Source organism: Homo sapiens, chromosome 5 (assembly GCF_000001405.40).
Source record: "Homo sapiens chromosome 5, GRCh38.p14 Primary Assembly".
Classification (NCBI taxonomy): Eukaryota; Metazoa; Chordata; class Mammalia; order Primates; family Hominidae; genus Homo; species Homo sapiens.
The window spans coordinates 38,148,428-38,160,489 of NC_000005.10; the positions used below are offsets into that span (position 1 = coordinate 38,148,428).

The 12,062-nt window shown below is 39.2% G+C and overlaps 2 long non-coding RNA genes across 2 annotated transcripts in view; both read left to right on the forward strand.

The window, feature by feature from the left end:
- LINC02107 (long intergenic non-protein coding RNA 2107) overlaps window positions 1–12,062 on the forward strand; it is a 158,236-nt gene that overhangs the window by 122,731 nt on the left and 23,443 nt on the right. The gene's annotated exons all lie outside the window — the stretch shown is intronic.
- Window positions 53–5,288, forward strand: LINC02119 (long intergenic non-protein coding RNA 2119). Its single transcript, NR_134272.1, has 2 exons — window positions 53–174; window positions 2,838–5,288. It is a non-coding gene; the product is annotated as a long intergenic non-protein coding RNA 2119 (long non-coding RNA).

The window sequence follows — 12,062 nt, forward strand, 5'->3', positions numbered from 1 at the left end:
TGCTTTAATATTTTCCACTGCTCTGCGATTTTGCTAATAGACCGTTCCACCAGTGATGAGAGCATTCAGTGAGAGCCTGGTGTTCTGCTCAGTACCAAGTGCAGCACTTTCACATGCTTGATGCTCAATGAATGTTGAAGGAGAGAGTGAATGGATACAGAGCTGAATGAGTAGGTATGGTTACATTGTAAATGGCCTTGCTCACATTCTTTGACAGCAGCTTTCTTTGCTGACTTGATTTTCCAAATGTCAGAATTGTCAAATCTGAGCTTCTTCAAGTTTTCTTTCTTTTCCTGATTTCTAGAGTAAGGGTTGGTTTAGTAAGCATTTTCAGTGACTCTCTGATCATCTGATGGGTCTTTTAGATTCAGCTATTTGCAGGAGATCATATTTTTGTGACCTAGAAGGGAAATTTTTTTGGATAAATTTTCATGAGTCTTTATTAAATAAACTTAGCATATCCTCCTTCCTCATTCCATAGAAATAGATCTCCATACTTTCTGAGTTGGAATAAGGAAATGAAATAATATAATATATAAAGTTGTACAGTAATTTGATGAGCAACTAGATTAATTGTTCTTCAAAATGCAGAAAATAAACCAGTATACTAAAGGAAAAATGCAACTTGCAAAATAAATTACTGTATAAAAAAACTTAAACATTCATATTTTTCCCTTTGAGGGAGAAGAGGCAACTTCAGATGGGTGAATGACATCATTGTTGACTAGTTAATAAAATCATCTTATATAATATAGTTCTTATACACTTTTTTTGTTGTCCTGAATACCTTTACGTCCTGATAAAAATTGCTTGAGGCATGAGGAACAAGTGTTCGGTACTCTTTGAAGAGATGTGGTAACTAAGCATTGGGGGTTGGCCTTGTTGCCTAAGATCACACAGTTTGCAGCTGAACTGAAACTAGAAACCGGGGATGCTGGATCAGAGTCCAGTACTCTTTAGAATATTAGAAAGAAGGAAAGTCAGCTGGGTGCGGTGGCTCGCACCTGTAATCTCAGCTCTTTGGGAGGCTGAGGCAGGCAGATCACTTGAGGTCAGGAGTTTGAGACCAGTCTGGCCAACATGGTGAAACCCCGTCTCTACTAAAAATACAAAAATTAGCCAGGAGTGCTGGCACATGCCTGTAATCCCAGCTACTTGGGAGACTGAGGCAGGAGAATTGCTTGAACCTGGGAGGGGGAGGTTGCAGTGAGCCGAGATTGGGCCATAGCATTCCAGCCTGGGCGAAGAAGCGAGACTCCATCTCAAAAAAGAAAGAAAGAAAGAAAGTCAGATGCACAAAATATGAATGGAAGAAGAGCTAATAATAATGAAATGTTTTTGGTAGGGTTTACCTCAATGAAAAGCAAAATCACCTCCACTATTTTCTCCCAATTGAATGAAATGTTCTAAGTATCAATCTAGGAGTTCCATAAAAGCAAGGACTGTGCCTCCTTCAGATCTCCTGGATCTAACCCAATTTCTCATGTAGTAGGTCCTAAACACATGCTTGATGAATGAATAGATAACTTTCCACAATGTCTTCTGTTGTTAGCTCCTTCTCTTATCCCTTAATAATCCTTTCACATATTTCCTCCCTCTGGGTGGACCATAAGTCAACTTCAAGATTAGACATGTGGCATAACATCATTGTGAATACATATTTATTGAGCACAGTGAGGAAGCAAGAGTTGAAGCAAGGGTTATATTTGTCTTCTTGGATTCCACTCCTTCATAAATAAAGAAAACACAACTAGTAGAACTTTTGGGGTTGAAGAGACTTTAGAGATCATGTAGTATATTTCCTTCAGCTGAAGTGCAAAGGTATGAAATGGCTAAGGAAGGCCTCATAAGGAGATGGGAGCAGTGCTGATATGAGATTGGCATCTCCCAAATTCCAGTCCCGTGTTTGTTCTAATGCACCACCTCTTGCCTTTCTGGTGCATGTGTATATGTGTATATATCTATATCCATATCCATATCTATAGCTATCTTGAAATGAGTTGGTCATTCTTGTCTAAATTTGAGTAACATCAAGGTCCCCGAAATTCAACAGGAAGGGTAACATATATTGCAAATGGTCTCTTTTCAATGAAATATGTTTTTGATTAGTATCTTATCAACAGTTTTCATAAGCAGTATAAGAAATGAAAATGATCACGTAGCACTAGTTGGACATTCACTTTGACTGCTTGTCAATCATTAAGTGTTCATTCACATGCCATGATGGACTGTAGGGCACCCTGTTGGATGCTGGAGGAGTAGGGATAAGAAGAAGGATGAGGCAAAATCCCTGTCTTCAAGGATCATGCAGTCAGTTTGGAAAATTAATATTTACATAAAAATGAATAACATGAGTGTCCATTAAATGGTAGAAGTGCAGGTAATAGTGCTGCCATCTCACTGCATTAGGGAGGCCTTTCTGGAGGAGGATGTATTTATGCATATAAAGGATTGGCCAAGCTAAAACAAGTGAAGGAGACTACTTTGGTGGGTCAGGGATGCAGAGAAAATGACAAAATCAAATGCCAATAATTCTAATGGTTTTCAAGATTCCTTAAAGTATTTTGGCCATCGGTTTTCAAGTATAGACTATAATTTGCACTACGTATGTACTAATCCTATTGTATTTAGGTTTTAGCGTTGACTCTCACAAAACCATAATCTGAAAGGCTCCTGTGACAGGCATTGACAGCTATATAGAACAACCTTTGGCTAAAGGATGGGCATCTCTGACCAGTAGTGTAGTGGCCACTTCTCTGCTCTTCTCACGTCCCCTCAGATCCATTGTGCCATGTTGGTGTGCCTTTCCCCTAGCTTCTCTGTGATTTTGTTTCTAGGTTCACCCTTGTGACTCTCTCAGAGGACTGCCCCATTGTCTGCAAGCCTGAAAACCAGAAGTGCCTAAGGGGTTGCATCCTCCCTGCACAGCCATTAGCCAATGACTGGCAAAGGAGAGGGAAAGCTCGGATCCATTGCCTCGTTTGGGAAAAACTCGGAGACATGATTCGCACTCTGGAGTTTTCCTGCAGGATCAGGCCTACATCCCCTTTCTGAAATTTCTCATAAACCACGGTCCCCTGCTTGGCTTTTTCCCCTTCCCTGCCCATCATCCATCTTCCTCTACTTCTCTCCTTCATTTCAGAATCTGCATCTGAGAAAACTGCCCTAAGATAAGGAATATGCTTATCTTCCAATTTGAGTTCTGTAAACAACAGCCAAGAGAGCAGGGGTGACGATACAGCTGAGCCACAATCAAGTTTCTTATTATTTTCCAGGCACAGAAGATTCCAGTCCACATCCTTTCTTCCTTTCATTCCCAAGATATAGCAATAGAAGTCTGAAGACGGTAAACTCTAATAACTGTTCCCTGAATAGAAAATAACAAGCCTTCCCCTCCATACCTAACAGTCCCCAATACAATTGGTGTTCATAATATGCAGTTTGAAGACAATGATGACCAATGACCAAAGGCATAATCTGAATCACAGCCCTATATCAGTGCTCTGGACCCACATATCCTCTTGCTTACCCAGTGATGTTTACCAGGAGGCATCTTGCCAGAAAGGAAATCAGCTGTGGGGGCTATACAGTTCCAGGAGCCAGCCCATCAAGAAGGCATTTGTGAGTTTCAGGGCGTGGGGATACAGTGGAACAAAAGTGGTGTCTGTTTGCTTGCATCATGGAAGCAGCATTGGAAGAAATCACTCCTGACCAACCGATGCCAGTTGGTGGAGCCCAGATTTTTAAAACTAGCTGATTGCCCATCAAGAAGGATGTCCAAGGGATGAACCCACCAGCCTGACTCTCTCCCTCCCTCTGTTTGATTTTTTCAGGAGTGCTACTCTGTGATAGGCTGCACTCATGTGATGATTACTGTATTGTGCATTTGCTGATTCTTATGATGTACAGACTTTCCAAAGCTCAGCTGCTTTATAATGTCCAAATTAATACCAACAGCATTTCTGGGAAGAGGAAGGGAACTACTGTGACATATGGACCAAATCTGATGATTCACATAAAACTCATCATCATTATTTTACCTCCTTTGTCCCCTTCTAGTCCTTTAAGAAATAAGAATCAATCATTGTCACATTGTCTAGTTATTTATGCTGTACTTACCCAAAAAGGTAAGTTTACATCTCATGAATTTTGACTTATTGAGAAGAAATCCAATCTCAGTCCTGGATTGAGACTGTTCTTGTTGTTAATTAATGAAAACTGAATTATAGATTGTTTTGTACAAAAAGTGTTATTGAAAGAAATGTCACACTAAAAGGTATATCAAAAGCCTTGAAAAAATTCAGATTCATTGTGTTTAGCATTAGTCTCATCCATCATTCTGGGAGAAGGCATATTCAAATCAACAAGGTTATTTTGACATAATGTACTCTTAGTGATTCTTCACAATTCCTCCAGGATGACAGATAGGACTTGGTAATCATAGCTGAAGAGGGTTCATCAATTCATAGTTAAATTAATGAATGAACAAAATATAATGTCATTCATCCATCCATTTATTCATCATCCTACTTAGTAACTCACTTTTTAACAATGCTTCCTAAAATGCTATGCACACTGTGAATTGGTTTTACAAGATTCTTTTAATCAAAGATGAAATTTATAACATAGAAACAGAAAACCAAATACTGCTTATTCTCACTTACAAGTGGGAGCTAAACACTGGGTACACACTGGCACAAAGATGGGAAAAACAGACACTGGGGACTACAGGAGAGGGTAGGAGGGGGACAAGGTTTGAAAAACTTCCTATTGGGAAGTTTACTCTCAGTAAGCTCAATACCTGGGTGATGGGTTCAATTGTACTCCAAACCTCAGCATCACACAATATACCCTTTAACAAACCTGCACATATACCCCAAGTCTAAAATAAAAGTTGAGAAAAAAGATGAAATTTAGTTCAGCCACAGTCTTACAGACAATATCGAATTAATAAAGTCTAAAGTTATGAAGTTATGAGATTTGACAGTTTTATAGTAGTTGACATCCATAGAATAGACAGTCTGGACTTTACGTGATCTATGGGACATCTAGAGGATGTCCAACAGAAGAGAGGCTGCCTTTTCTGTGTACCTCTTTTAATAAGTAAGGACAGCTTCTTAGAACCCCCCAAACAGGCTTCTTTCTGAACCAATCACTGACATGAGAAATGAAACAGCTACTTAAGATTAATGAAGATTTGCTCTCTGAGTCATGTAAAGGAGGGGCAAAGACCTGAACAAAAAGTAAAGGAAGAGAGAAATGACTGGTGGCCAATAAACCAACAGTGTCTGCTTCAGCTACGTTTCCAGGAGCCAGCTTCTTCTACAATGGTGAGAAGTGTGTTGAGGGGTCGTGAGGTGACTTTTTGCAAGGGTGGCTATTGCTTGTAAGTGAAGACACGGGGGCCATAAGGTATGATTGATGGAGGAACATTCTCACCTTCCCCAAAATACCTCACAAATGCATCTCCTGAAAAGTCCCACATTATGACTTTGGGTTACATTATTTTATCTGGAATTAAAATACCTATGAAAATGCATGTTTATAATTTTAGAGTGGGATAGCATAGTAAATAAACACTTTAGGATATTTTCTTCAGCAACTCTCTTTTAAGCGCCTAAGAGCAAGGCACTCTGCTAGGTGGGAGATGCAGGAATACCTCAAAGATAGCCCTCTATTCTGACAATCTATCAATTTGAGTGAACTCTGTGCACAAGGACCATAGTGGAAAGTGATACCATCGAGATGTGGCTGACATTGGAGTTCAAAGGTAGGAACTATAACTTCTGAATGATGTAGAGGAAGAAAGGAGAATGGTGGAGAAGGTGGTGTTAGAGTGGGCCGTGAACAACTCTAAAATGCAGATACAGAAAAAGACAATCAAGGCAAAAGGGTTCCATGGAGGTGTGGAGAAGCACAGGAAGCATGCAGGGGAAACAGAAAGATCCCCTTTACTTGGAGCAAAATGATGGCAATCCATGGCTGATAAGATGAGAAACAACTCTTAGAGGCGCTTGATGCCAGGTTAAGGAGTTCAGAATTTGTTACAGATACAGAGAGGATCCTTCAAAGGTATTAGAAAAAGAAAGTGACTTTTGATCAGAATTGTTATTAGGGAAATTGTCTGGTTTTGATGGGGGAATAAATTGAATGGAAGCAGGTAATAATAGACTTTGGCAGTGGTAAGGGCAGTTATGTATCTACTAATTATTTGCAATGACTTGGAGAGATAAAACATTTCAGGAAAAGTAGCATAGTCAGAGAAGTTTAGGTTCACACAAGTCATCTCCCTGTCTTGGGTATCCAAGAGACAATGTAAGGCCACTAGGGCTCCCAAGAAGTTTCTGGTGGGGGCAGGGGTTAGACTGAAGTCCAACAGCAATGTTTGCCATGTCGGCATTTGGCCCAGTGCAGAGATTTCTCCCAAGCACTGACAGGCTTTTTCTCATCCATGGAGACTGGGTTCCCAACCACTGTGTCTGTAGCCCCTGGTATTCCCTGAATTGGCACCAACCATTGCCTAAATGTTCCCCTTTGTTCTTAACTTCCTAAATGACTCATCAGATTCCTACTTATGTTGTCTGAGTTGTTTTATGAAACCCTAATGTGACAGATGAGACCTAATTCCCTTGGGGATTATTATTTCTCTAGGTAGTTTCCCATTATGGCAGTTTCAATTACATGTGTATTTCTGCCAACAATGCTTAGTTCTCTCTTTTGTACTTTAAAGATTCTTGATATCAGGTCCAGACTTCTGGAATTCACTTCCCCAGCTCTTTTGACTATATTTGAGTAGAAGTTCTGGCAGGGAATTTTTATGAAGCCATGCTATATATGATAGATTCTAACTGAAGAGTGAGATGTGGAAGATATTGCAAAAGCTAAGGGTTGCTACTGGCTGCAGTAATGATGGGAAACCCGATAATTCAGCCAGCCTGCTAGGTAGATCCACCTTTATTAACCTGAATTATCTATCTACCTATCTATCTATCTACCTACCTACCTACCAATGAGCATTTCACAACTATAGGGCAAAGTTGCACCAAGAAGCCATTAGCAAACGTATTTATTCAATAACACAAAGAGTCCAAAGAAATAGAGTTACTAAAGTACAATTTAAAATTTTTTATTTTTATCAGCATTCTCACCATTGTATAATCAAACAGAATTGTTTCAACCTAGTTGGCCTGTCAGGTTATCTTGATCAGCAAGGATTAATTCATTAGACCATATCCCTGTCTGTATGCAAGGAGAAATATAATTGTTAGGACATTCACGATTAGGACTGACTTTCATCTGGCATGCACTGGTAGAGCCTATCAGACAGCACCCATTCTCTTTACTGGTGGTGGTCCATGTAGTTAATAAATTGTTGGACTGTTACTCTTGCACAAATTGCTGAATTATAAATATAAAGAATTATAAAATAAGATAAAAATAGCCTGTTAAGGAAACCTAAACCCTCTGACTTTAATGCTTTCATGCTGATACATCCTGTGTCAGATATGACACCTATAGGTGATTTTACAACCACAGGTTATTAAGCACCAATGTACAGACCAAGGAGGAAAATAATGTAGTTATGAAAACTAAGTAGTATATTCAGAGGGTTCTTTGACTTACAAAACATTCGTCTCAACAAGAGTTTACAGTTCAGAAAAATCAGAAAAGTTTCAGGAACAAAATAAACATCTAGATTTTATATATTAATTTCCTACTGCTGCTGTAACAAATTACTGTAGATTTCATAGCTTAAAACAACACAAATATATTTTCTCATAGTTCTGGACGTCAGAAGTCTGAAATGGGCTTTAATGGGCTTAAATCAAGATGCTGGCAGGCTGCATTTATTCTAGAGGCTCCAGGGAAGAACCTGTTTCCTTCTATTCTCAACTTCTAGAGTTTGCCCGTATTTCCTGGCTCATGGCCCCCTTCCATATTAAAGCCAACAGTGGCCAGTCAGGTATTTCTCACAGTGCATCACTCTGACACTAATTCTCCTCTCTTTTCCACATTTAAAGGACACTTGTGATTCCATTGAGCCTATCTGGACAATCCAGGGTAATCTCTCCACTTCAAGATCCTTAACTTACATCCACAAAGTCCCTTTTGCCATGTAAGGTAACATATTCACAGGTTCCAGAAATTAGAATGTGAGTAACTTTGGGAGGTCACTGTTCTGCCCACCACAAAGTGTTTCCAAATGTCATAGTGGTCACAGTTAGTGTTTGATCTTGGACAACCTAGTCTCAGTCTCAGAAAACCTTGTTTTCTCCCTGAAGTTTGCAACTGAAAGACTGGGTTGTTCTGTCTGTGGGAATAACAGAGATGGTGGAGTTGAGATGAAAGATGGGAGTAAATATAAAAAGAAATATGGAATGATGAAAAGAGGGAAAATATGGAAGATGGAAATCAATCAAGAAATATTTATCAAATATGCTTTATGCTGAGTTCTGTAGGCAGCAAAAAATAGAGGAAAGCATGAGCCTTACTCTATGAAGCTTCAAGTCTTGGAGACAAAGCACATACACAAATAGCTAAAGTTTGTACACTTAGCCTCATTTGCTTGAAGGACTAGACTTTCTTGTGCTCTCAAGGCAAAGCACTTTGCTCATGGGCTGCAGCATGTTTTGGAATCCCTTCTGTGCTTTGCCCTGAACACTCAGGCGTGTCCCAGAGACAATCAGCAAGTCAGTTTGGCTGGAGCTGAGGGAGCATATCTTCCTTAAAACAAGATAAGGAGGGGCCCCAAATGTCTGTTAATAAGGAGCAGTTGGCACACGAATGACCTCACCAGGAATCTCTTGTTCCTCCTGCTGTACTGCCCTCTCCAGGTTTGTTGAGTTGGAGTGCTCAAGAGCTGGTCAGTACTGATGCTTGCAGCTAAGCTTCCCTTTTGAGGTTTCATTGCTACCACTTTACAATATCCAGGTTTTGTAAGTGGTCACAAGCAACAGTATTGTATCAGCTTGGAGGAAAGCTCCATTCTAAGCAGAGACCTTTGCCACATGTGTAACTTCCATGTCCATTCCTTGAGCATGGTTCCACTTGGAAACGCCTTAGTTCTAGCCCAGTTGTGTTATCTTGGAGAAACAGTTTCATTGCTCTAGTCTCATTGATTTTGTCCTTGTTCCTCTTTGATGTCAAAGTTAGGCTGGATTATTCCAGTTTGTTGTTAATGCTTCAACCAAGGCCATTAAGCAGGCCTTTTAGAGCAAGATGTGTACAAACTTCAAACCAACAGGGAAATTGTCCTAAGATGCAAATGAAATGGTCCATGGTAATAAGACATTGGATGTGGGTAGGAGGGTTCTTCCTCCCCTGCTGCCTCTCTATACTCCTAAGCACCCCTCTGTCTCCTTGGTATAGATGAATTAAGATGAAAAATTTACCTTTCAAATCTTGGTCCAGCTCAAATGTTAATGCACAATTATTTCTTATGTTTTCCTCCCAGAATTACAAAAACACAAGCTGTAATATAAGGAAACAATTAAAAGGGGAAAAAAAAGATAAATTCCAAAAGCAGTTCTCTGAAAAGTTGTACAAAATAGAAAAAGAAAAAACAGTTGTAAGCCTGATTAAAGGAAAAAAAGAGCAAAAAGGTTAGGAATGAGAATGGAGGCACAATATAGATATCAAAAAAACTTAAAGCAATTATGAGAAAATGACCCTATAGTGACAAAGTTGAAAACCTAAAGCAAATATATGGTCTGGTTTTGCTCAGAGTAGGGATAAGTAAGCTCTTACCAGACCAACCTCAAACTATAAACAAAATAAAAATATAACTATTTGAAAGAACTGGAAAGGTAGATTCTGGGGGCAGATTCTGGGTTGTCATTTAGAAGAAAGAAACCGTGTGGGGAGACTTCTCTCCCCTTTTTCTGAACACAGATTGCTTTCAAAAAGCAATCCAAAAGCAACAGCATACAGGGTTTTAAAAACAGAAAGAAACCCTCGATCTTTTTTTTTTAATAGCATGATTTACTGGATATTTATTTATTTATTTATTATACTTTAAGTTCTGGGATACATGTGCAGAACATTCAGGCTTGTTACACAGGTATACATGTGCCATGGTGGTTTGCTGCACCCATCAAGCCGTCATCTAGGTCTTAAGCCCCACATGCCTTAGGTACGTGTCTTAATGCTCTCCTTCCCCTTGCCATCCACCCCCCGATAGGCCCCAGTGTGTAATGTTCCCCTCCCTGTGTCCATGTGTTCTCACTGTTCCACTTCCACTTATGAGTGAGAACATGCAGTGTTTGGTTTTCTGTTCCTGTGTTAGCTTGCTGAGAATAATGGAGAAACCCTCAATCTTATTGGCTTATAGAGCCAGAAGACAGGGCAACCAGAGCCATGAGAAATTAAGGATGTCCTTGGAGAGAGCCAGAAAGGGAGAGCTACAAATTCTGTGTATAAACTCTGCTCAGATTTCTGGCTAACATCTGATTTATGAATGCACAGAACAGACTCTAAAAGTCCCTTCTAAAGCCAAAGGAACGGAGCTGAGATTTGAGGTGCCAGCCAAGTGATAGAGTTTACAGCTGGAATCCACCCAAGTTAATTGCCTGCTAAAACAAAAAAGTTTACAGCTTTGGGGAAAATACAACAGAATGTAGAGTATCTAGAACTTGACACTACAATGTTCAAGATACAAGCAAAATTACCTGACTTATAAAGAAACAAGCATGTGACCCATTCTTAAGAGAAAGAGGGATTTTAAGACAGCTCAGATGTTGGACTTAGCCAACAAAGGTTTAAAGCCGTGACTATAAATATGTTATGTGATATTAAGAAAAGCATATTCAAAATTAGTGAAAAGATAGGATATCTCAGCAGATAAATAGAAACCATAAAAGGGAATCAAAGCAACAGTATCTGAAATAAAACACTTATTGAAGGAAATTCAGAGCCATATGGAGATGACAGAGGAAAGAACCCATGAATTGAAAGATAGATCAATAGAAACTATCCAATCTGAAGTAAAAAGAGAAAAAATAGAGAAGAAAATGAAGAGGCTTGAGAACCTAAAGAACAATACCGAAAGATTTAACACATGTGTAACCAGAGTCTCACAGAGTGGAGAGATAATGGCTGAAAAAAATATTTGAAGAAAAACTGCCTGGAGAGTTCCTAACTTTGACAAAAGTAGAAAGTGTCCAGATTTACCCAGCTAAGCTCAAGTGGCATAAGCACAAAGAAAACTAAGCCTAGGCACATCAGCCTTCTGGAAGTTAAAGATAAAGGGAAAATCTTGAAAACGACTAGAGGAAAGTGTCACGTTATATACAAGAAAATAATGCTTTGAATGAATAATGAATGAATAAATTTTCTGCCCTCTTCTCAGAAACTTGAAGGCAAGAGCACAATGAGACAAAAATCTTTAAAGTACTGAAAGAAAAACAACCACTGCAACCAACACCAATCAAGCCAGATATCTATATCCAGTGAAATATTCTTTGAGAATGTAAGTGTAATAAAGATAATTTCAGATCAAAGAAAACAAAGGTGATTTGTCATCAACAGATCTGCTCTACAGAAATGAAGGAAAGGAGCTCATTAGACAGGAGGGAAATGATACCAGAGGCAAACCTCGATCTTTAGGAATGAATGAAAAGCATCAGAAATGGTAAATATTTGGGTAAATATAAAAAGTTGTCTTCTCCTAATTTCTTTAAAAGACATATGACTGTTTAAAGCAAAAATTACATCATTTTAACATTGTCTTGTGAGATGTATAACATAGATAGGCAAATAGATATGACAAATATATCATAAAGTACAGAGTGGGAGAAAATTGACCTATAGACAGTTGTAATGTACAATAGTAACTCTAAGGCGTTACTCTGCAGTAGCTCTGCAGACCCATGTCTATGCTGTAACCCTACATAGATCAGCTGATCTTGTATCCTGAATTAGGCTGAACTAAATTATTATTATGATTATTATTTGAGACAGAGTCTTGCTCTGTCGCCCAGGCTGGAGTGCAATGGCGTGATCTCAGCTCACTGCAACCTCCGCCTCTGGGTTCAAACAATTCTCCTGCCTCAGCCTCCTGAGTA